Genomic DNA, 25,137 nt, shown 5'->3' with positions numbered 1-25,137 from the left:
AGAGACACAGAAGTGCTAGAAGCCAGTGCTCGTGAACTAAGGAGAAAAAGAACAGGTAAGAACTTTTACTACTTCTCATCAAGCAGCTTTCTCTCTAGCTCCAAAGGATCTCAGCTCAGTGATATGGAACCTATAAGGTTGTGGCAGGGATGGGAAGGAATTTATAAAGGTCAGTTCATTTTCTTAAACATCATCAGAACCAAATTAGGCTGCAGATGAGCCTGAAGTGGGACGCAGGTCAGATGAAATCCTGGTGTTATCAGGGACAGCATGGCCTTAAGTGCCACTACAGTGCTTGTGTTGAATTAGGCACCAGTAGACAGGGGCTAAACTGAGCATTTGAAATGTACTAGGATAGTCTTTCTCTTTGTTGACATTATCTATGTTGACTAGGGATATGATTACATTTCCATCGTCAGTGATGGACTGAATCCTGCTTCTATGCAGCTAAGAAATGGAAGAGTTACAAACGGGTTCTTTTCATGGAAGGAAAGAACAGCAAATGAGAAGCAGAGTAAGCAGCCCACTGACACGGTTAAAGACAAAGAAAAAACTGAAACTCAGCCTGAAAGATGAAGATTCATGAAAACAGTATACTTTTTATTACACTTGTGAACTTTGTTTCAGAATGGATTACTTTCTTTAGAAATAGTCCAGACTCACTAATTTCCTAGTGCCCACTGATCCCTGTCCCTTAGAAGTGAAATTCAACCCCACTGCTTCACTGAAGTGCTTCCAATTTTGTCTTCTTTTAGTAGAGAGCAGGGCCAAAAGTGTTTCCTCTTTAATTCTCCTGTAATGCATCTCTACAGAAAATATCTTTGCTTACTTTAACCTCTCCATGCACTCAGACTACTTTGATCCTGCCTTCTGCAAAGTCTTCCCCTGAATGCCTTGTCAAGACACTAGCCTCATTCATCACCTCTGGTCTGACAGCTCCTCTCTCTCTCTCTCTCTCTCTCTCTCTCTCTCTCACACACACACACACACACACACACACACACACACACACACATTCCCAGCCCCTTATCCTCCTCTCCACTCCTACTATTCCTCCTCTTTCTATTTCTCTTTCTCCTACCCTACCAAATGGAAAACAGAACAAAACAGAAATCCTAAAGCTGTATCGCTGGAAATATATTTTATTTGAACAACTTCCTAGGTAGCTCTCTTTATCTGCCTCTTGATCTTTTAATCCTTATTATCTGGAGGAAACATTCAGTATTTGCAATTTTGCATTCATACCCTCAGTGACTTAGAAGCTATCTTATCGTGACTCTAATGAAGCTTAAGTTTCAGGGCCCTTCTCTTGGACATGACCCTTAGGAGCCCTTGGAAGGTTCCCTAGCCATGTGTTTCACATGGTTGTATAGTTTTATAAAATTTGCAAAAGTATGTTACATTGTTACCACTTCCAGAATGGCAATGTGAGAAGCTTTGTCAATCCTCATTGCAGTGAAATAAGCATAATCATTTGAAGATGGAGGAAGGAACACATTTAAAAATCTTTGGAAATTTTTCTAAGGGTAAACATCAAACTATGAATACTGATTCACTGTGTTGGATGTTTATTCACTGTGAGAATTAATAAGTGAATCAATATTGAATTCCTTACATACAGCCAGGATGCAAATAAATCCTCTAAATCCTATTCTATCTTCCATTAATTGACTAGTGAAAATATCTAATAAGAATCCAAAAAGAAAGTTTTCCACAATAAACTAAATGAAATATTTGGGTCGTGAGAGTAGTTGAGTGTTGATAAGTCACTGTCATGCTAACATTTTTCATAATGAGCTACTTTGACAATACTTCCATAACTTTCTCAAATGATACAGATTTTGCCTCATCTCTTTTGCTGTCACACACAAAACTTTTGGCCATACTGGGGAATCTTATGATTCTCCCTTATAATTGCAAAACACTAGAAATTCTCATGTATTTCACCTCTTCTCTTGCAGACAAGGGAACAGCCTGGACATGGCATCAGAGATCCACATGACAGGCCCAATGTGCCTCATTGAGAACACTAATGGGCGACTGATGGCGAATCCAGAAGCTCTGAAGATCCTTTCTGCCATTACACAGCCTATGGTGGTGGTGGCAATTGTGGGCCTCTACCGCACAGGCAAATCCTACCTGATGAACAAGCTGGCTGGAAAGAAAAAGGGTGAGTGGCATGAGCAAAGCTCTGCCAAGTCCCTTCTGTCCATCTACACAGTCAGCCTCCATTATGAAGATGTGAGGAGAGAAAGAGATGAGGATGAATACTGAAAGCTAACTTTCCATTCACAGTCGGGCTCCTTATCTTCACGCTGTTCTAGGGGATAAGAATCAATTCATTAATTATTCCCATGATACCTTAGTTTCCATTTCAAAAGCACAAATTATGCCTCTCCTAAAAGGAGTAAGACAGTAATAAAAATAATTAATGTACATAATAATAACTATAATAAACTATACAATGTTTATTACAATTTTTATGCAATAACAGAGTTCACAGTGATCTTTAAGGTTGAAAAAATGTTTCAATCTGTAGTGGATATTATTTTTTGTTGTTGTAAAAAAAATAAAATTTAACCTCGTAACCATTTTTAAGTGTACAGCTCTGTAGCATTAATGAAATTCACATTGTTATACAGCTGTCACCTCCATCCATATCCAGAAATCTTTCATCTTGCCTAACAGAAACTGTATTAACTAAACAAAAGCTCCACATAAACCCATTGCCTGCCATCATTCTACATTCTATCTCTATGAATTTGACTACTACAGAAACCTTATATAAGTGGAATCATTCAATATTTGTCCTTTTATGACTGGCTTATTTCAATTCATATGTCTTCAAGGTTCATCAGTGTGTTAGCATGTGTCAAAACTCTTCCTTTTTAAGGCTTAGTAATTGTACGTGTATACTAATTTGTTTATCTCTTCATCTGTCAATGGACACTTGGATTTCTTCCACCTTTTGTCTATTATAAATAATGCTAATAGGAACATGGGTGTCTGAATATCTGTTCAAGTCCCTGCTTTCACTTCTTTTGGGAATATACCCAGAAGGGGAATTGCTGGCTCATGCAGTCATTGCATGTTAACTTTTTTTAAGAAATCACTATACCATTTTCCACAGTGACTGTACCGTTTTACATTCTCAACAGAAATGCACAAGGGTTCTAATTTCTCTACATCCTCACCAACATTTTTTATTTTCAGTGGTTTTTTTTTTTTATAGTGGCCATACGAATGGAAGTTAAGTAGTATCTCGTTGTGGTTTTGATTTTGATTTCCGTAATGACTAGTGATGTTGAGCATCTTTTCACGTGCTTATTGGCCACTTGTATATCTTCTTTGGGAGAATGTCTATTCAAGTCCATTGTTCATTTATTAATCTGGTTGTTTATTTCTGTTGCTTTGTAAATTTTTTTATATTTTCTAGATATCAATCCCTTATCATATACATGTTTAGAAACCATTTTCTTACATTCCGTGTGTTGCCTTTTTTAACTCTGTTGATAGTGTCCGTTAATACACAAAAGTTTTAAATTTTGCTGAAGTCCCACTAATCTATTTTTTCTTTTATTGTCTATAGTTTTGGTTTCTTATTCAAAAAATAATTTCCAAATCCAATATTATAAAACTTTTACCCTTTATTTTCTTCTACAACTTTTATAGTTTCAACTCTAATGTTTGGTTCTTTGATCCATTTTGAGTTCATATTTGTAAGTTATAAGGTAATAGCCCAACTTTTTAAGGAGATATATCATTTCCTCAACATCATTTGTTAAAGAGACTCTCCTTTCTTCATTAAATGATCTTGACACCCATACTGGAAATCATTTGACCATATATATCAGAGTTTATTCATGGGCTGTCTTTTCTATTCTATTGGTTTATATGTCAGTCTTTATACCAGTACCACACATGGTTTTGTAATACGTTTCACAACTCAGAAACTGTGAGACTCCAACTTTGCTCTTCCTTTTTATTTTTATAATTAGGGGATCTCTGGAAATTTCATATGAAATTTATGGTGGATTTTTCTATTTATACAAAGTAATTGGAATGTTGGTAGGGATTATATCAAACCTGTACATCACTTTGGGTAGTAGTGACATCTTAAGAATATTAAGTCTTCCAATCCATAAACACAGGATGTCTTTCTAATAACTTATGTCATCTATAATTTCTTTAAAGGGTGTTTGAAGTTTTCACTCTACAAGTCTTCCACCTGCTTGGTTAAGCTGATTCCTAAGTAGTTTATTCTTTTGATGCTGTTAAATTGGATTGTTTCCAAAATTTCCTTTTCTATTTTTTACACTAGCAACTGATTTCTCCATATTGACTTTGCATGCTGCAACTTTGATGAATTGTTTTAATAGTTCTAATAGTTTTTTGTGGGATAGTTAATGTTTTCTACAAATTAGATACTATCATCAGCAGACAGAGATAATTTTACTTTTTCATTACCAATTAGGATGCCTCCTTTATGCTTCTCTTGTCTAATTACTCTGGATAGGACTTGCAGTGTTCTGTGGAATGCAATTGACAAAAGTAGGCATCCTTTTCTTGTTCATGATGTTATAGGAAAAGCTATGACGTTTCATCATTAAATGTGAAGTTAGCTGTGGGTTTTTAATACATGGCATTTATTATGTTGAGGTGCTGTCTTTCTATTTCTACTTTGTTGATTATTTTTATCATGAAAGCCTCCTGAATGTTTCCATGCATTGGATATTCAAATTTCCTATTTCTTTGATTGTAAGTACGTAAGGTGAATACTGATTGTTGTTTCAGTTCTCTCTCTTAACCTTAAATATACTACTTTTTCCTTCAATTGCCAGAACTGCCTGTTACTAAATCCCCATCGCTGGTCTCCTCTCTCCCTTGCAGGCTTCTCTCTGGGCTCCACGGTGCAGTCTCACACTAAAGGAATCTGGATGTGGTGTGTGCCCCACCCCAAGAAGCCAGGCCACATCCTAGTTCTGCTGGACACCGAGGGTCTGGGAGATGTAGAGAAGGTGAGACTCAAGGATCCAGTTGTGGAGTAAGCCCCTCCTCTCTGAATATTTTATGCAGCGGTTAATTGTTTATTAACTATTAACTACAGGCTGTAATATGTGTGGGTTAACACAGATGCATAAAGGGAGCACAAATAATCCCAGTGTCATAAGTCTTATCCTGCACAGAACTTTAGTTAAGAATTTGGGTGCTAAAGCCATGTGACTTTGTATTTAAATTTAAATTCTGTCACTAATTCAGTAGCCTGAGAAAATTGACTTATTTTCGCCTCAGCATTCTAATCTTTAAAATGTATGGAAAAGACCTATGTTGGCCATATAGTATTATTTTGAATATTTAATAAGATAATACATTACAGGTGTATATTAATTATTCAATAAAATAGCAACTAATAGTACCAATCTTATATGTGAATTCTGTTATTGAAAAAAAGAAGAGAAAATTTTAAATTTACATTGTACTCAGGCCTTAAAATGCCCACCAACCTTGAATTTTAATTTTACAATTATCTGTTGATGATCATTAGAAGACCTAGTAAGAATCATGGTAACCCAAAAACACTCGTCGAAAAACTACCCAAAAGCCACATCCTACTGAGAATAATTTTTGTATTTGTCTTCCTTTAATAGGTCATTAGTGTTAAAAAAAAAAAAAAAAAAGAAAAGAAAAAAAAACCCTCTAACATATGAACATAGTTTTACTACTGTTACTCTGAAAAGTGCTGCGATGATGAAACTTGCTCCTGACTCCAGTGTGTCTTGACTTCCAGGGTGACAACCAGAATGACTCCTGGATCTTCGCCCTGGCCGTCCTCCTGAGCAGCACCTTCGTGTACAATAGCATAGGAACCATCAACCAGCAGGCTATGGACCAACTGTAGTATCCTTTTGTGACCCAGAACAGCACCAAGGTCAGAGGGGACACCTGTATTCATACACCAGCTGCCTGACTGTGAATCCTGATGAATCAAGCTCAAAAGGAGAAAACAAAAAATAATGCAAGTACAGAGGAGAGATCCCATGTATCCACTTTAGAACTGACACTGACACTTAGGTTAGGAGCAAAGGAAAATGGAAGGTTTGGGTATGTGTTGAACTAACATGGGATGAGGTCCCTGTTCATTTTGTCACATTTCCTTAGTTAGCTACTCAGCTATGTGACAGAGCTGACACATAGAATCCGATCAAAATCCTCACCTGATGAGAATGAGAATGAGGTTGAGGATTCAGCTGACTTTGTGAGCTTCTTCCCAGACTTTGTGTGGACACTGAGAGATTTCTCCCTGGACTTGGAAGCAGATGGACAACCCCTCACACCAGATGAGTACCTGACATACTCCCTGAAGCTGAAGAAAGGTAACAGAGAGCTTCAACTGATAAATGAGGATGAGAAAACACAAGAAATTATCATTTTTCAGTTTACTATTGCTAGTTTTCCAGCATTTGCAGTTTTCTATGTCTTCAGCTGGCTATTCCTAGAAATTAATACTTGCTGAATATCCAAATTAATAGATGTTATTTTAAATTACATTTGTCATTGTTCTAGAACAAGTTTCTTGTTCTTTCACCTTTGTGTATGCTGTGATTAGGTTAATTTTATCTCCCTGCCTAGGGTTTGTGATCTTCTACTTAGCCATAGAGTATGGAGTACAATGGATATTTATTTAAAGAACATAGACTAAAACATGAACCGTGTGCTAGTCCAAGCATTGGCAAACTACAGCCCAAGACAAATCATGGCAAATCCTGCCTGCCAGCTGTCTTTGTAAATAAGGTTTTTTTGGAATAATGCTATGCCCATTCATTTACATATTGTCTAAAGCTGTTGTCATGCTTCAATAACAGAGTTGAATACTTGGAAAAGAGACCATCCAGCCTGAAGAGCCTAAAATATTTACTATTTGGCCCTTTACAGAAACACTTATATTAGGCAATTTTATAATTTTTTAAATGTTTTTCTAGGTACCAGTCAAAAAGATGAAACTTTTAACCTGCCCAGACTCTGTATCCGGAAATTCTTCCCAAAGAAAAAATGCTTTGTCTTTGATCGGCCCGTTCACCGCAGGAAGCTTGCCCAGCTCGAGAAACTACAAGATGAAGAGCTGGACCCCGAATTTGTGCAACAAGTAGCAGACTTCTGTTCCTACATCTTTAGTAATTCCAAAACTAAAACTCTTTCAGGAGGCATCCAGGTCAACGGGCCTCGTAAGTCCCCTTCCTAGTACTTCTGCTCATTGTTTAAGACTAGAGGAGCATAGAATAACTTCCACCTAGTTTCAGCATTGAAAAATCCCAATCTACTGCTATATTTGTGTTAAATTCTAGATGGCACCAATGTTTCTAACATATATTGTTAGTCACATTTCCAGTCTAGGAAAAGGCCAAAGGAAAAAAGTTCTATTGCTTGAAATTGCCCTAGTGAACTGGACCTGCACTATGCAATAGAGTAGCCCCTAGACAAGTGTGTCTATGTAAACATAAATGTAAATAATTTAAATAGGGAAAATTTAAAAGTCAATTCACATGCCTGTATTTCAAGGACTAATATTTACACGTACTTAGTGACTAGCACACTGAAAAGCACATATACAACATTCCCAGCATTACAGAAAGCGCTTTTGAACAATACTGCAATAAAATAAACTAAATGGATGACTCTTTTTTATTGGAATAGTGTCATTTGTTTCATACATATTGATCAAATGCTTACTATGAATAGACTGAAGATACAGATATAAATGAAATAGATATGGTTCCTGTCCTAATGTTGGTTGGGGTTAAAATGGATGCAAACATTCAATTAACACAAGTCTATGTAATCTAGTACAAGAACTCTCAAATGTTGGTATGCATACATATCTTCTGAGGATCTTACCAAACACAAAAGTCTAATTCAATAGATCTCGGACAGGGTCTGAGAGTCTATTTCCAGCAAGCTTCCAAGTGATGCTGAGGACATTGATGCTGTGAGGAAAATAGGTGGTATTTGACATGCTCAGAATTACATGGAATAGAGACTTTCTTTACCACCAGAAACATTATCATTTGTTCTTCATATGCAGGTCTAGAGAGCCTGGTGCTGACCTACGTCAATGCCATCAGCAGTGGGGATCTGCCGTGCATGGAGAACGCAGTCCTGGCCTTGGCCCAGATAGAGAACTCAGCTGCAGTGCAAAAGGCTATTGCCCACTATGAACAGCAGATGGGCCAGAAGGTGCAGCTGCCCACAGAAACCCTCCAGGAGCTGCTGGACCTGCACAGGGACAGTGAGAGAGAGGCCATTGAAGTCTTCATCAGGAGTTCCTTCAAAGATGTGGACCATCTATTTCAAAAGGAGTTAGCGGTAATTTTTGTCTCAAATGTATACGGTTTAGGGTCATAGAAGCTAAAGTACCACAAGGAAAGAAAACTATTATTTATTTTGACGGAAGTAATTCCTCCTAGCTTCCATAATGGTGAAAACAACAGATTTGTGATCACATCAGTCAGAAGGACCAACTGTATTATTACAGACCCAAAGTTCTAAAACATTTTTTCCTGAATAATTTTCCCTTTACTTATGCATACAACTGACAACCAGAGCTTCTAATAAAATTACCTGCCCACTCTTCTCAGACTGATTTGATATTCTAGCCAAACACAAAGAAAATTTTCATCCTACTTATCTTGAGCAGGCTTCCGTTCAGCCACATTTATTCCATATGAAATCATTAGTCCAATATGCAAAAACAGAGTTTTCCTCTAACAGTTGACATAAAGCTATCAATCTCAGCCCTGAACCTCACCTCCAAAAAGAAAGCGACTTCAGCAGAAAGTGGGGTCAGAAGGAAGAGTGTGGTCCTGGTGAGGAGGCTGTCAGTTTCTCCAGCATCATTGACTTCTATTTTCAGAAATCGTTCCCAAAATTCTGAGGTCAAGCTAACATCCTTTCCCTGTTACTCTTTTTACTTCCTATTTTTACATTAAAGGCCCAGCTAGAAAAAAAGCGGGATGACTTTTGTAAACAGAATCAGGAAGCATCATCAGATCGTTGCTCAGCTTTACTTCAGGTCATTTTCAGTCCTCTAGAAGAAGAAGTGAAGGCGGGAATTTATTCGAAACCAGGGGGCTATCGTCTCTTTGTTCAGAAGCTACAAGACCTGAAGAAAAAGTACTATGAGGAACCGAGGAAGGGGATACAGGTAACCAAGATTTATCTGTCAATTATGGAAAGCTGCTGACCTGCCTCCTACAAACACCAAGGTGACCAAGCTTCACTGCATACAGATGTGCTTTTTTGTTTGCATAACATTCATGCTTTTATTCAATAACATATGCAAACAGGCTGTTATACCAGATATGTCCTAGGTGCTCATCAAAGAGAGTGCAGTCAATTAACTATTAAGTTATAAATTCAATTAGCAGATGAAGCACAAAGTTATTATTGTCATCATTACAGCTGGGCTTTTCCTGTTGCAAGAGACAGGAACCCAATGATGGCTGCTTAAACAAAAATGTAATTCATTGATTTAGGCTGCAAACTGGCTTTACAGGTCAGGTGGGTCTAAGGTTTCAAGTAACATCATGAACTGGCTCTCTGTCCAGTGTTCCCCCATCCCCACAGTTTTCTCCCTCCCACCATCCCTCTATCTGAGTCACTCTGATATTTGCTTTCTCAATGATGGCTTCATTCCCCAGCAGGCTCAGCCCATATGGGACCACAGCATTAACAGTTCCAAACTTAGAGCCCTTAATCTAAACAGGACAGAGACTCTCCTTTTCCCAGTATCTATATTAGCCTACTAAAAATGACTGCTAAGTAGGATGTTCTGATCGGCTTGCCAGGAGCATGTGTCTGTCGCTCCGACAGGGAATTTGACCACCAAGGACAATAGGGCCAAGAGAAAGAATTCCCAGAGGAGAAAGGATGGCAGGAAGACAAACAGGAACACCTGCTTACAGCCATTTCCTACTTCTCACTCTGTGTTCTCTGGGTCCTAAGGCTGAAGAGATTCTGCAGACATACTTGAAATCCAAGGAGTCTATGACTGATGCAATTCTCCAGACAGACCAGACTCTCACAGAAAAAGAAAAGGAGATTGAAGGTGAGGAGTGAGTTAAGAGATTAGATGGCCTCAAAAGCTCCAAAAATTGAAATAACTTGACTGGATAAACATGGGACCCTTTAACTAGAGCAAGATCCACAAAGGTGTGTCTTACTTGCCGAGGTCATCTCTGAGTAGGGCATATGCAGTCAGCAACAACGACAGGTAAGTGTATAAGGAAGAATGAGGCAACAAGATAACCCCACACAAATTTTTCTTCTGCCTTTTCCTCCTCAGTGGAACGTGTGAAAGCTGAGTCTGCACAGGCTTCAGCAAAAATGTTGCAGGAAATGCAAAGAAAGAATGAGCAGATGATGGAACAGAAGGAGAGGAGTTATCAGGAACACTTGAAACAACTGACTGAGAAGATGGAGAACGACAGGGTCCAGTTGCTGAAAGAGCAAGAGAGGACCCTCGCTCTTAAACTTCAGGTATCTAATTGCATCACCTTGAGGTTTCTGTTTTTCTGTTTTCTCTCCATTCTCCCTGATCGCAAACTTAGTGTGGCAGAGAGAACATGAAGCCCAGGGTAAGGACCCTGCTTGCTTACTTGTACTTTTCAATTCCTGTCTGTCCAGCCTGACTGGCTACTGCCAAGTCTGGTCACTGAAAGTTTTTTATTTGCAGTTGTGTAACATTCAGTCCTTTATCAATATATCCTTCATTTCAAGGAAGCTATTATCTGCTAGGCATCATTAAAATATCTGTATCTCGGTGGGGCATTGTGGCTCACGCCTGTAATCCCAGCACTCTGGGAGGCCAAGGCGGGCGGATCACGAGGTCAGGAGATTGAGGCCATCCTGGCTAACACGGTGAAATCCCGTCACTACTAAAAATACAAAAAATTTAGCTAGATGTGGTGGCGGGCACCTGTAGTCCCAGCTACTCAGGAAGCTGAGGCAGGAGAATGGAGTGAACCCAGGAGGCAGAGCTTGCAGTGAGCTGAGATCGCACCACTGCACTCCAGCCTGGGCAACAGAGCGAGACTCCAAAAAAAAAAATCTGTATCTCTTGCTTAATAACATATGTAGCAAGAACTATATCCTTATTACTTAGAAGAAGAAACAAAGGTTCCAAAAAGAATAAATAATTAAGTTCACACAGCTAGTAAATATATCAGAGCTGTCTTCATCACTTAGCGGAATCCACAATGATTATTTGTTTCTGTGACACCTACTATGAAATTAGATTTAAGAAACCTTTATGAGCAGAAAGGCTCCTAACCCTCACACCTGTGTGATACTCTGCTAATTCTGATTATTTTTAATGTCCTGCTCCCAGTTTGTTTTGAGTTGTGAGCTATGTGCAGAAACTCAGTATGGTCAGTCTGGCACTCAGATTTCTTACCTGTCTTCTGCTACCCCTGACACCAAGGTGTGGCAGCTTAGACCAAATTTCCTAATCCATGATTCATACACCTTATGAGATTTTGAGGATACTTTGCTTATTTCGGTGTTATGTCATATACATAATAGGGTAAGGAACATGGCTGTGCTTTGGTCAATGATAGGCCAAAGTATGACATTTACGTCTTGCGTGACTCAGAGAAAATTAAATAACAAATCATTTAATGTGGAAACCAGATAGAATGTTTCAATTTGCCTGATGCTACACTTTACTCAGCCTTCGTTTGTCCCTTTTTAGGAACAGGAGCAACTACTAAAAGAGGGATTTCAAAAAGAAAGCAGAATAATGAAAAATGAGATACAGGATCTCCAGACGAAAATGAGACGACGAAAGGCATGTACCATAAGCTAAAGACCAGAGCCTTCCTGTCACCCCTAACCAAGGCATAATTGAAACAATTTTAGAATTTGGAACAAGCGTCACTACATTTGATAATAATTAGATCTTGCATCATAACACCAAAAGTTTATAAAGGCATGTGGTACAATGATCAAAATCATGTTTTTTCTTAAAAAAAAAAAAAGACTGTAAATTGTGCAACAAAGATGCATTTACCTCTGTATCAACTCAGGAAATCTCATAAGCTGGTACCACTCAGGAGAAGTTTATTCTTCCAGATGACCAGCAGTAGACAAATGGATACTGAGCAGAGTCTTAGGTAAAAGTCTTGGGAAATATTTGGGCATTGGTCTGGCCAAGTCTACAATGTCCCAATATCAAGGACAACCACCCTAGCTTCTTAGTGAAGACAATGTACAGTTATCCGTTAGATCAAGACTACACGGTCTATGAGCAATAATGTGATTTCTGGACATTGCCCATGTATAATCCTCACTGATGATTTCAAGCTAAAGCAAACCACCTTATACAGAGATCTAGAATCTCTTTATGTTCTCCAGAGGAAGGTGGAAGAAACCATGGGCAGGAGTAGGAATTGAGTGATAAACAATTGGGCTAATGAAGAAAACTTCTCTTATTGTTCAGTTCATCCAGATTATAACTTCAATGGGACACTTTAGACCATTAGACAATTGACACTGGATTAAACAAATTCACATAATGCCAAATACACAATGTATTTATAGCAACGTATAATTTGCAAAGATGGACTTTAAAAGATGCTGTGTAACTAAACTGAAATAATTCAATTACTTATTATTTAGAATGTTAAAGCTTATGATAGTCTTTTCTAACTCTTAACACTCATACTTGAAAACTTTCTGAGTTTCCCCAGAAGAGAATATGGGATTTTTTTTGACATTTTTGACTCATTTAATAATGCTCTTGTGTTTACCTAGTATATGTAGACTTTGTCTTATGTGTGAAAAGTCCTAGGAAAGTGGTTGATGTTTCTTATAGCAATTAAAAATTATTTTTGAACTGAAAATACAATGTATTTCACTAGGCTTCTTATTTCTGATTTTCTTTTTTGCAGTTATTTTTATCAGAAAATAAGGTTTTACTCTTTATGGCAATGGCTGGTAATCTTTTCTGTAAAATACCAGATAGTAACGATTTATGGCTTTGCAGGTCATACAGTCTCTGTCTGAATTACTCAGCTCTGCATGTAGTGCAAACACAGCCATAGAAAATACATAAACCAATAGGTGTGGCTATGTTCCAATCAATTTTTACTTTCAATAACAGGATGGCACCCATAAGCCATAGTTTGCAGAACTCTGTTTTACAGAAACATTGGTCAGAGTTTTATATACCTGCATTGTGTTACTCACATGTATAAAAATCATATGGATTAGACTATATATATTACAATCTTGAAAAAACTATGCGGTTATTCAAAATAACACAGTGAGAAAAAAGCAAGGAAGCAGCTAATGCCATTAAATCCACATTAATAATCCTGTCTTTCCTAATTGCTTTGAGGCCTTTTGTTACCTTGAACTACCTGTGATCCAATCACACGGCAAATGCCTCCTTTCACAATAGAGCATGGTGCTGCCAAGCACTGTTTCTTCACTTGAACTGAAACTTTATAGAAGACCAGGTGAGAACACAGAATACTAGATGAAATGTTCATGTAGATATGCTTTATATTTTCTTCCAAGCTCCATTGCTACAAAGGTGTAAATAAAATACATTTTTATGAGTTGAAGTAACTTCACAGTAGAAAAGAATAACTCTGCCATTAAAAGCAAATAATGGTTTCTTTGTAAACCAATAAAGTATAAGAAAATGAAAAATCAGCAAAATTAAGTTACTTCCTCCCCAGTTTGGTAGTATTAATATTTAGACCATATTCTGGCCAGGCGCTGTGGCTCACGCCTGTAATCCCAGCACTTTGGGAGACCGAGGAGGACGGATCATGAGGTCAGGAGATGGAGAGCATCCTGGTTAACACGGTGAAACCCTGTCTCTACTAAAAATACAAAAAATTAGCCGGGCGTTGTGGCGGGCGCCTGTAGTCCCAGCTACTCTGGAGGCTGAGGCAGGAGAATGGCGTGAACCTAGGAGGCGGAGCTTGCAGTGAGCCGAGATCGCGCCACTGTACTCCAGCCTGGGCGACAGAGCGAGACTCCGTCTAAAAAAAAATAAAAAATTAGACCACATTCCAAACCATCTGACTTGGTTTAGTACTTTTCTCTAACATATGCCAGAACAGAATCAAGCTCTCTCCAGGGAGGCATGTTGCTTTCCCGTCCTTAGGCCCTCCAATGGCGTGCAAGGGTGCAGGCTATGGCGAGTGTGGCCGAACAATCACCAAGCTCCTGGATGGCATGCTTGGGTGCCAGTGGCAGGTGACCTGGGCCTGCTGTCACACTTCCTGATGTTGTGGGCACACGCCCGCAGCTACAGTTGAGGCAGCATGATCCCCAGGCCCTGGGCACCATGTTTGCGTGACGGGTGGTGTGAGAGCCTGTCCTCAGGACACAGAACTGCGTCTGGGCAGACCAGCTCCAGGACCATGGGAGGCACATGCAGATGCTTGGTGGCCCTGCTTCGGGTGGAAAGTTGAGAGGGTTGCTGTCGGTGGCAGTGGCCCCGGGCAAGTGGCTTTCAGAAACTGAGGAGTGTGCATTTGGGCTCCCTTTGTCCTGGGGGCAGTCTCCCTGGTGTGGTGCACTGCCTGTTCCTTACTGCACCACTGGATTCAGCCCACGGGACAAAGTTGCAGCCCTCTGGGTGGAAATGAAGAGATGTCCGCAGGGCTCCAGGGAAGTGGAGATGCTGGGGCTGTTGGGCCCCAGAGCAAGATACAGTCTGATGGGGGCTGGGCTTTCAAAATAGTGCTGCGCGGCAGCTCCTTGAGTCTTGGGAGTGTCAGTTACCTAAAGCAATGCAGGCCGTTTGCCTGATTGCAATGGAAAGCCAAACAAGGAAGCACAAGGGTTTTGTAGAGGGAAAGGTTTATTTTTATTCAACTAGGAAGGAGATGGGGGAAAGCATATCTAAAAATTTGTCTCTCAGATCTGGGGGTTGGGGCAGGTTTTATAGACAGAGGGTAATGAGGTAAGATCTGACTGCATCGTGCCATGAGGTGATGTCAGGGCTGGATCTGATCAGATCACAGATTAAGCCCTGAGGTGTCTCCTTCTTAAATCAGCCCTGCTCCTTGGTCCAAGTACTTAGGTTCCACCGTGGTTGCATGCAGAGTGTGTCTGGGCATGCTCAGGTAACATAACTTGAAACCAGGAGACCGTGGCAACAGTAAAACAACGCATTATTTTATTACACAAACTTGAACCACATTGGGCTGGTTCTGCATTTTCAAATCCCCCTTTTTTCATTGTTCATTTCTCAATCTTGAGGGAGAATGGGTGACAGACACTCTGGCACTTCCTGCTGATTAGGGCACAGACCTTGGTTAGAGGTATAAAATTATTTAGCACGGTGTTGTACGACTTCCCTGATATCAGGGTTATGTTTCAAAAGGAGTTGTTTGATTCAATTTTAGGAAAATGCATAAAGTGTTAGCAACTTAAACATTATTTCTTCCAGAGAACAGAAAGAATGCTCAGGTTTAATAGCCAAAGTTCCCACGCAGGTTCCCAATCAGGTCTGTTCATTCAATTGAGAATTAAAACTCCAAACTCACTTAGTTCTGATTGGTCAACCCAGCTGAGTTCTAATGGGTCAATACAGCTGAGCCCTGATTAGCAGAGGCAGGTGGGCTGAAAAGCCCCAAAATAATAAGGTATGTGTTTTGGGTGAACTCAGAACATGTGTGTGTCCCCTCGTTAGCAAATGGTCCCTTGGCTCAACTTGAAATGCAGGCCCAGTTAGCCACTCAGGATGCATCTTGAAAGACTGGCTCAAACTTGTTGGCAGACAGCACTGCATTCCATCACGGCATGGAAGTGATTAGCTACGTGCTTCAGGTTTATCTGGTCTCTTCTAGGGATCCTGGTGGCAGAGCAGTGGCCAATTGAGCAACTAGAGCCATTTACTTACAAAAGGCACTCAGGTACCTGTTAGATTCTAATCAAAGTCTCGTAGGTTATGTTGATTCTGGTTCCTGTCTGGAGTAAATTTAAAATTTCCTGGGTTAGGTCAGCATGATCCAAGCCTCTTGCAGATATCTGTTAAAACAGGCTAGAAGAGCTGGGCGCAGTGGCTCACACCTGTAATCTCAGCACACTGGGAGGCCGAAGTGGGCGGATCACCTGAGGTCAGGAGTTTGAGACCAGCCTGAGCAACATGAAGAAAATGCATCTCTACTAAAAATACAAAACTAGCCGGGTGTGGTGGTGCGTGCCTGTAATCCCAGCTACTCGGGAGGCTGAGGCAGGAGAATCGCTTGAACCAAGGAGGTGGAGGTTGCAGTGAGCCGAGATCCCACCATTGCACTCCAGCCTGGGCAACAAGTGTGAAACTCCATCTCCAAACAAAACAAAACAAACAAACAAAAAAAACAGGCTAGAACAATTCAAAAGAGTACCCAAATGATTAGCCCAAATAGAAGGATCATTAAGATCTGTAGGATGGAACACAGAAGGTATCCTAGACTAGAGACAAAAGCCAGCTGAAAATATCTGGAAATTGTAAATTCAAGCCAGGAAGTCCAGCCAGGAGGCTTTTTGAAGGTGTCCCATTCAGAGATTTAGCTAACTTTAGGATCTTAGATGTGTCCAATTCAATCTAACTAGATGTATTTACCCAGGTGCAGCAGCAAATGTTAGCAACAGCACAAACATCACCCTGTACAGCAAGAAGACAGTCAAAAACAATGTAGTTGTCTAGGACCACATGAGCAAGGGAGTTTGGGACTTCTGCTGTGCTCTGATGGTTTGGCCAGTGGAGCAGTCATTCTATTAACAGTACAAGATTTCTGACCATATTCTCATTCCAAGCAGGGCATAGTCCAAACTCGGACCCCAGTAACCTTCCTGATCTAGCTGCTTCACTAGAGTTAATCCTTCTGGGTAAATCACATCTTTGGTAATATCCCCAGCTATAATCTAAGAGATTATCATTGGTGTTCAGTTGTGTCTCCAAGACTCTCAGGTAGCTCTTTGGGTAGCAGTGGTGAGACTAGCTGAATAGATTAAAAATTGGGTTATTCATTTCTGTAGCCAAATCTCCTGGTGAGGATAACTTAAGTACTATTTTTGCCTTTTGGGAGAAGGAAATATGGGCCTGATAGGTTTCTAAGAAGTCTCTTCAGGCTGAAGTGCTTCGTCACTATTTCTTTATCCCACCAAATATTCCCTTATCAGACCTTGAAACCCCATCTCTCCCACATCCTGTTTGTCCTATATTCTTAAAATTCCCACATGAAACACCTTCTTTCCGTGATGATTGATGGTGTGTTGTTTCCATGACCTAATCCAGACTGATTCACCAACATTTTTTATAAGAATAAAATTCTAATACAGAATGATTCCAACATTCCCGAAAGTGTTCACTGTTCTGTGCCCCTACACTTTTCCCACAGTATGAGTACTGGGTAAAAACAGATGAGTGATTTGACTAGAAGATGGTGTCTATAAAGCCATGGTCTGATGACATTGATTTAGATCATTTTTATTCTATACAGATACACAATGCTATGTAACTTCTTCGTATATTCTCTCATCCTGAAAATATGTTTTATAAATATGTATGAAATTTCAAAACAGGCCTGGCATGGTGCCTCATGCCTATAATGCCAGCACTTTGGGAGGCCAAGGCAGGTGGATCGCTTGAATCTAGGAGTTTGAGACCAGCCTGGGAAACATGGCGAGACCCCATCTCTACAGAAAAAAATAAAAATAAATAAAAAAAATTAGTCAGAGGTTGTTGTGCACACCTGTGTTCCCATCTACTCAAGAGGCTTAGGCAGGAGGATCACTTGAGCTGCAGAGGCAGAGGTTGCAGGGAGCTGAGATTGCACCCCTGCACTCCAGCCTGGGTGACAGACCCAGACTCTGTCTCATAAAAAAAAATCAAAACAGAAATTATGAAAAATATTAATGATAGCTACATAAAAGATCACACATTCACACCTTATTACAAATTTTATGCTCTGGAAACCTTTTTAGAAAGAACATATATTTAAATATCATGTTTACGAAATGTGTTGATATTTAACACTTAATGGAAAGTTTTACCAAATTTTCAGTGTTCAAAATAAGATAAGACTTCTATGTACATTATCTCAATTCAGCCTCACAAAACAATATGAATTGGATATTGATGTGCTCATTGAGAAGATGATGAAATAAGGCATAGAAAGTTCACAAACTGAGGAGTGGCAGAGATGCTAGCACCTCCCTCTAGGGGCAATGCCCTGCTTTTCCTCTATTATTCCTCATGTGACAGAGCTCGAAGTGACGTAGATAACATACCCTTCTTCCTTCTTATCTTTGCTTCCAAATCATTTGTCCTCTTTCTTTAGCTTCTAAATCTCCTGGAAACCCACAAAACAACAAAACACATAAAGTGAAACACATGTCATCAGGCTATATTACTCACGACTCCCTTGCTCTAGGTATTCTGGATCTCCCAACCCCTTTATTCACTGAATATTTTAGCACCTGACTCTTCTTCTCTTTACCACTACTCTTGTTATTAACCTTTGGGACTTTTTGCATGTGGTAGACAAGCATCTAATACCCCAGCCTCTCAGCTACTTGACCTCTGAGAAAGTCTTTTCTATCATCTCACCTCAGCTTCAACCTTTTCTTTACCAGTAACTAAACCTCCCTCCATAATCTCAATATCAAGTGTCCCACACAATTAGCCCCTCTCATGACCTGCCTGTTCCATGCTGATATGCCGAATTGTCGATTCTCCATTCTCATCTTATGTTATGTCTCAGCAATATGACAAAGATAATCATCCCTTCCTTCTTCAGGCATTTCATATTTCGGGCTGCTTATGTAGCACACAGTCTTTGTTTTTCTCTATCTCATTGGCCATTCTTTTTCAATTTCCTTTTCTGAATTCTTCCTACTTCTTAATTTCTAAATATTATAGCTCTTCAGTTTTTGAGCCCATTTTTTTCTTTAATCCACTGTCTTGGCTTCAGCAAATCTCTATTCAACATGTCCAAATTTACGGCTCTAACTTCACTGCCTGTTTAGCATTCCCACACTGATGTCCAATAAAAATCTCAAGTTTTACATATCCAAAGCAAAACTCTTGATTTCTCCTGTGATCCTAAACTTCATCCTCCCACAGTCTCCCCTATCTTGGTAAATATAATTCCTTTAACCCCATCCTTGATCCCTATTTTCCTCTCTGTCCTCAAAATCAATTCAACAGCAAGTCCTGTTAGCTCTAAATTGGAAATGCATCTAGAGTTGAATAGAACCTCACCCTTTCTAGTCTAAGTCCATATTGTCATTCACCTGGAATTCCACACTAGACTCCTAATTTACTGTGTTCACTTTTGCCCTTCTAGATCTACTCCAGTCTTGGTGACTTTTACTTTTTTAAAAATAAAATGAAAAACAACATAAAAAAGGAATAATAGCTAAATTATAATCTTACAGTGGATGATTTTTGAGAAGTACATCTGTTCTCACACTATCATGTAAGGAACGAATTCAAGGAACTAAATTTTGGCAAATACCCTCAGAATCTTAGTCATAGCATCATCCAAATTTCCATCTTGCTAGCCCATGTGCTCTATCGCTTGCTTACTCTCTCTCTATGTGTCTCTCTCTTTCTCATTAGCTCACACACTCTCTCACTCTCTCTCTCTCCTCCCCTTTCTTTTTTATCTCCCTCTCTCTCTCATGGCTTGCTCATACTGATGAAGGAAGTTATCATGGCAGAAATCTCACATGGCAAACAATTGAGGATGACCTTTAGTCGACAGCCATAAAGGAACAGAGGACTTTAGTCTAACAAGTTAATGATAAAATGAATCCTGCCAATGACCATGAGACTGAGTTTGAGGAGTGGATTCTTCCCCAGAAAAGCCTTGAGATGTCTAAAGCCCAGGAGGCACTTTGATTGCAGCCTGTGAGAAACCACCAAGAAGACACAGCTAAACCTTACCTAAAAGATTCTTGTGAACTTTAGAAAATATGAGACAATCAGTGCTGTTTCAAGTCACTACTTTGGGAGCATATTTCTTATGCAATAGCAGATACTAACACAGAAATGTTACCTGACTTGGAACATCACAGATTGTTATTGTCTGCTTTTTGTCTTTATATAAACTGAAATATATACCATGGTTTGTTTTTTGTTTAACTTCTTTAACTCAATATTATGTGTTAAAATTCATGCAAGCTTTTGGGTTCTGTAATAATATTTCACTATAGATAACTAGGAGTGGAATTATTAAACATATAGTATGCATTTTTCACCTTATAGTAGATAATATCAAATAGTTTTTTAATACAGTTGTCATCATTTATACTCTCACCAGCAATGTGTAAGAATTTCCAATGCTGCACACTCTCATCTTCACCTGGATAGGTCAGCCTTTTGAATTGTAGTCATCCTAGTGGGTACATGGAGATTTTATTCACAGTCTAATTTGCTTTTCCTTGAGAATGAGAGATAATTAACGAAGTTGAGCCCCTGTTCATGTCCACTGTTCATTAGGATATCTTCTTTGGGATGAGACTGTTTAAGACTTTTCTTCTATTTCTAGTGAATTGTCCTTTTTTCTTTACTTGGAGACTTTTTCACATATTCCATTCATGTGTGTATACATATTTAATTTTTTAAATCTTTAGTCTTTTTTTAATCTTTGCCTTTCAGTCTCTTCATTGTATCTTTGGATAAATAGCAGTCCTCAATTTTAATAGTTAAAGGTATTGATTTTTTATTTAAACTGAATAGTTTTGTATCACATTTCCCAACTTGGAAAACCTGAAAATAATGTCTTTGACTTTTTTCTAAAAGTTTGATTGTTTTGTCTTCCACAACTATATCTATAATCCATCTGGAATTGATCAGTTTTTAATGTCAGGAGGGTAGAAACCACGTTTAATTACTTTTTAACATGTGTATAGTAAAGCCCTAATGATGGCAGCCATGGCCCATCTAGAGTGGCTGCTGCCATGACACTGGCTTCACTGGGGAGGTGTGGCCAGGGTTGCATGCTCCATGGAGCCGGAGGGAGCCAGAAACAGGTGGAAGGCCAGCCCGCTCCTGAGTTGGCAGGGCAGGAGCCTCATGCTCCCTGGGCGCAGCTGCAGCTGCCCAGCCATGGCTCCAAGCCTGGACATCCCTGTGCTCTTGAGGAGTGGGAGCAGGCATGAGCTCCAGGCATAGCTGCAGCCACCCAAGCTGCAGCTGCAGCCACCCAAGCCGCAGCTGCAGCCACCCAAGCTGCAGCTGCACACCCAGGCATCTCTGCACTCCCAGGGGCCCAGGAAGTCCCTCTTGTCCCAGCAGGCTTGGAAATGCCTGCTCCTGTTTCCTGGCCTCTCTCTGTTCCTGTGCCTGCTCTGATCTGGAGCAAAATTGAGGCCAAGACTAGGTACTATTGCAACCTGGCCAGGTGTGCACACACTTAGGGCAGCCCTGACACACTAGCCCCTGCTGCCTTGTCCCCGTCTAGACTTTGTGCACCACCGAGCACCAGAGGGAGGCTGAGGCCGGGCTGAGGGCAGCTCAATGCTGGCTTATAGGCACCCCTCAGCAGTAAAAGCCTGGGTTACATAAGCAGCAGCAGGAGGCAGACAGGCTCCAGGGTGGAAACAGGTAGGCCCTTGGTGAAGCCCCACCTTCAAGCCAGGGAAGGCCTGAAGCCTGGGAGCTGGGCTGCCAGTCCTGCAGACTAGAGTGGGAACTTATGTTGCCTTTTCCAGGCCCACCCATGGCCACCCATGGACCAATCAGCACACACTTCCTCCCCGCTGAAGCCCATAAAAACCCTGGGCTCAGCCAGACTTGAGGAGATGACAGAATGACCTGCCTGTGGAGAGGAGCTACCCCCTCTGGGTTCTCCTCTCTGCTGAGAGCTGAGCAGACATTGGGACTACCAGCTGCAGATAGGAGCTACCTACTCCAGGGTCTCCTCTCTGCTGAGAGCTGAACACTCATCAGGACATCCCAGTTGAGGAGAGAAGCTACCCACTGTGGGTTTCCTCTGAGCTGTTCTACTGCTCAAAAAAGCTCGTCTTTATCTTGCTCACCCTCCACTTGTCTAGGTACCTCATTCTTCCTGGACACAGGACAAAAACTAGGGACTTGCCAAATGGCAGAGCTGAAAGAGCTGTAACACAAACAAGGCTGAAACACCCCCCTTGCTCACCATGTTGTGGGCAACAAGAAGGAGAGAAGAGAGAAGGAGAGAAGGAGAGAAGAGAGAAGGAGAGAAGAGAGAAGGAGAGAAGAGAGAAGGAGAGAAGAGAGAAGGAGAGAAGAGCTGTGGCCCTTTGGGGATCCCAGACCTAGAAGTTCCCCAAACCAGGGCTGTGATAACCTCTTTGGGGCTTCACACTTTCTGGTGATTCCAAGCTTCTGGGCACCACCGCATTCCCTGGTGCCAGCCATGGAAGCTGCTTATGGTTCGCCTGGTCCAGTTTCAGCCTCGCAGGGAGCCAGCGCCCATGCCAGTGCCTGGAGCTGCCCACCCTGCCACAGCCAGCATGCCTGGCTATGAGCAGTGGCTGGGCCCCATGCTCACTCATTCACACACCCCTCCCCACTCAGCTCACTCTTGGCAGGCACGGGATCCAGGAGGGTAGCGTAAGCCAAGCGCAGCCTGCCAGACTGAAGGGGTGAAACAAGCCCAGTGAGCCCAAGAAAAACTCAGGCAAAGGATCCACTGGCCACAGAGGTTTCCAGCTGGTGAAGTGATAACCCAAGAATCCCATGATACTAACACCGTTTATTGAAAAGATTATCCTTTCACTATAGTTTCTATAAATCAACTCGTTCTATGTATGAGTCTTGCAATTACATTCAATCTATAGATAAATTTGTGGAGAAATGAGATTCATAAAATAATCAGTCTTCCAATCCCTAATCATGACATGTCCTACCATTTATTAGCCCTTTTAATTCTCTCAGAAATACTGCATAGTTCATGGTGTATAGTCCTTGCATATTTTGTTAGACTTATTTCTAGATATTGTTAGATGACTTAAGTAAACTACTTTGGAGCATAAATACACATGTAGAAAAGTGGGCATCATAAATATATAGCTCTATGTATTTGCACAAATGAAACATATCCAGAATGCCAGCACTGAAAGAAAATTCAGAATATAACAGTTGCCATGAAGCCCTTGTCATGCTCCCAAGCAGAGACTACCACCACCTCCTAAGCTCATGAAGATTACTATCCTGTTTTGGTACTTTATATAAATGAAATCATAAAATATGTATTTTTTAGTATCCAGTGCCCTTTACTCAATAGTAGATTGCGTAAATATAAGATTGAGTAAATGCAAGATTGGTCAATATTTTTGTGTTTAGCTGTAGGTCAATTATTCTCATTGTTGTATAGTATTTATTTATTATATGACTATATCATAAATCATCTATTCAACTATTTTTTTTGAGGAAGAGTCTCACCCTGTCACCCAGGCTGGAGTGAAGTGGCACAATCTCTGCTCACTGCAATCTCTGCCTCCCAGTACAAGCAATTCTTGTGCCTCAGTCTCCCAAGTAGCTGGGATTACAGGCGTGTGCCATCACACCCAGCTAATTTTTGTACTTTTAGTAGAGACAGAGTTTCACTATGTTGCCCAGGCTGGTCTTGAACTCCTGGCCTCCAGAGATTCACCTGCCTTGACCTCCCTCCCGAAGTGCTGGAATTACAGGCATGTGCCACCACATTCAGCCCCACTCAACTCTTGATGAACATTTGAGTACTTTCACTTTTATGTCTATTACAGTAGTGTTATGAGCATTCTTGTGCATATCTTTTAGTTCACAGATGTTCAGTTCTTCGTGTGTGTGTATTTAGAAATGGATTTCTATAAATGTATATGTTCAGCTTTAGAAGATACTGTCAGTTTCATAGCGGTACTAAGTTATATTTACATGAGTACTATATGAACATTCTAGGTGCTCCACAAGCTCATCAAGCCTCAATATAGTTTGCCTTTTTTCCACTTGGCAGATGTGTAGTGGTAACACATTGTGGTTTTTCATGACTCATATATTTAATAATTTTTTGACTCAGTAGTGTTATTTACAGACCACATTCTTATAATCTTATTTTACTTTTGTTAAGAAAAATTATGTTATCTATGTATGGATGTATCTCTTCATTTTTCTCTTCCTCTTTATTTTTCCCATTCTTTCCTTTCTCTCTCCCTCTTTCCTTCCTCCCTTTCCTCCCTCCCTCCTTTTCATCTTCCTCTTTTCCTTCCTTTCTAAGAAAAATTTTAAGTTCAGGAGTACATGTGCAGGTTTGTTAAATAGGTAAACTTGTGTCATGGGGGGTTTTAGTGCAGATTATTTACTCACCCAGGTATTAAACCTAGTGCCCATTAGTTATTTTTCCTGATACTCTCCCTCCACCCCACCCTCCACTCTCTGATAGGGCCCAGTGTGTGTGTTCCCCTCTGTGTTCTCATCATTTAGCCTCCACTTATAAGTGAGAATATGGGGTAATTGGTTTTCTGTTCCTGTGTTAGTTTGCTAAGGATAATGGCCTGCAGCAATCTCTTAATATTCTTTCCCACATAATCATTTGTATGTGTGTGTATGTGTGTACTTGAATAGCTATTTAATATGGATACAACATTTGTGCTTTTGCATTGAAACGTATGGAGGCAGGCCAGGCATGGTGGCTCAAGCCTGCAATCCTAGCAATATGGGAGGCCATGGGAGATGGATTACTAGAGCCCAGGAGTTCAAGACATCTTGGGCAACATGCCAAAAACCCTTCTCTACAAAAAATACAAAAATTAGCCATGTGCCTGTGGTACCAGCTACCTGGGAGGCTGAGATAGGAGGATGATTGAGCCCAGGAAGCAGAGGTTGCAGTGAGCTGAGATCATGCCACTGTACTATGCCTAGGTGACAGAGCAAGACAAAGAAGGAAAGAAAGAAAGAAAGAAAGAAAGAAAGAAAGAAAGAAAGAGAGAAAGAAAGAGAGAAAGAGAGAAAGAAAGAAAGGGAAAGAGGAAGGGAGGGAGGGAGGAAGGAAGGGGAAGGGAAAGGGGAAGGGGAGAAGGAAGGAAGAAAAAGAAAAGAAACATACTTAGGCTGTTTTTAGTGTTTCAGTTTGTCTAAGATCATCCCTATTTTTTGCCACCACCTCA

The 25,137-nt window shown here is 40.5% G+C and overlaps 1 protein-coding gene and 1 long non-coding RNA gene across 4 annotated transcripts in view, besides 3 other annotated features; one reads left to right on the top strand and one right to left on the bottom strand.

Moving 5' to 3' along the window:
• The window catches only part of LOC105378841 (uncharacterized), a 57,743-nt gene extending 34,271 nt beyond the window's left edge, over positions 1-23,472 (bottom strand). Inside the window, exons 1-3 of one of the 3 annotated variants that reach the window (XR_947578.3) lie at positions 20,328-23,472; positions 18,295-18,356; positions 14,858-15,987 (exon numbers count right to left, since the gene is read on the bottom strand). This is a non-coding gene — a long non-coding RNA (uncharacterized LOC105378841). Of the gene's footprint in view, positions 1-14,857; positions 15,988-17,475; positions 17,701-18,294; positions 18,357-20,327 lie in introns of those variants that run through there. The other 2 variants (XR_947577.3, XR_947575.3) reach the window with 2 other exon arrangements.
• Positions 7-12,896, top strand: GBP1 (guanylate binding protein 1). The gene is made up of 11 exons (NM_002053.3): positions 7-55; positions 1,962-2,170; positions 4,891-5,018; positions 5,789-5,898; positions 6,172-6,374; positions 6,981-7,223; positions 8,081-8,361; positions 8,987-9,199; positions 10,000-10,102; positions 10,340-10,533; positions 11,747-12,896. The coding sequence occupies exons 2-11, from the start codon at positions 1,981-1,983 to the stop codon at positions 11,858-11,860; spliced, it is 1,779 nt and encodes a 592-aa protein (NP_002044.2). The 5' UTR covers positions 7-55; positions 1,962-1,980; the 3' UTR covers positions 11,861-12,896.
• Positions 7,873-9,072: an enhancer, noted in NCBI's record as "BRD4-independent group 4 enhancer chr1:89521826-89523025 (GRCh37/hg19 assembly coordinates)". NCBI's record gives its function as "activates an origin of replication core promoter dependent on BRD2, P300/CBP, MED14 and CDK7 cofactors, and independent of BRD4, by STARR-seq in HCT116 cells {active_cell/tissue: HCT116}" and the evidence as "EXISTENCE:reporter gene assay evidence [ECO:0000049][PMID:35650434]".
• Positions 13,941-14,525: an enhancer, noted in NCBI's record as "H3K27ac-H3K4me1 hESC enhancer chr1:89516373-89516957 (GRCh37/hg19 assembly coordinates)". NCBI's record gives its function as "activates a minimal SCP1, AML or CMV promoter by ChIP-STARR-seq in primed H9 embryonic stem cells {active_cell/tissue: H9 hESC(primed)}" and the evidence as "EXISTENCE:reporter gene assay evidence [ECO:0000049][PMID:30033119]".
• Positions 18,415-18,464: an enhancer, noted in NCBI's record as "active region_1294". NCBI's record gives its function as "activates an Ori minimal core promoter by ATAC-STARR-seq in GM12878 lymphoblastoid cells {active_cell/tissue: GM12878}" and the evidence as "EXISTENCE:reporter gene assay evidence [ECO:0000049][PMID:35858748]".
• Positions 23,473-25,137: the final 1,665 nt, after the last annotated feature.

The sequence above is a fragment of the Homo sapiens genome, chromosome 1 (assembly GCF_000001405.40).
Source record: "Homo sapiens chromosome 1, GRCh38.p14 Primary Assembly".
Classification (NCBI taxonomy): Eukaryota; Metazoa; Chordata; class Mammalia; order Primates; family Hominidae; genus Homo; species Homo sapiens.
The sequence above is the reverse complement of the archived record's forward strand: the minus strand, read 5'-3'. Positions and strand labels throughout refer to the sequence as shown.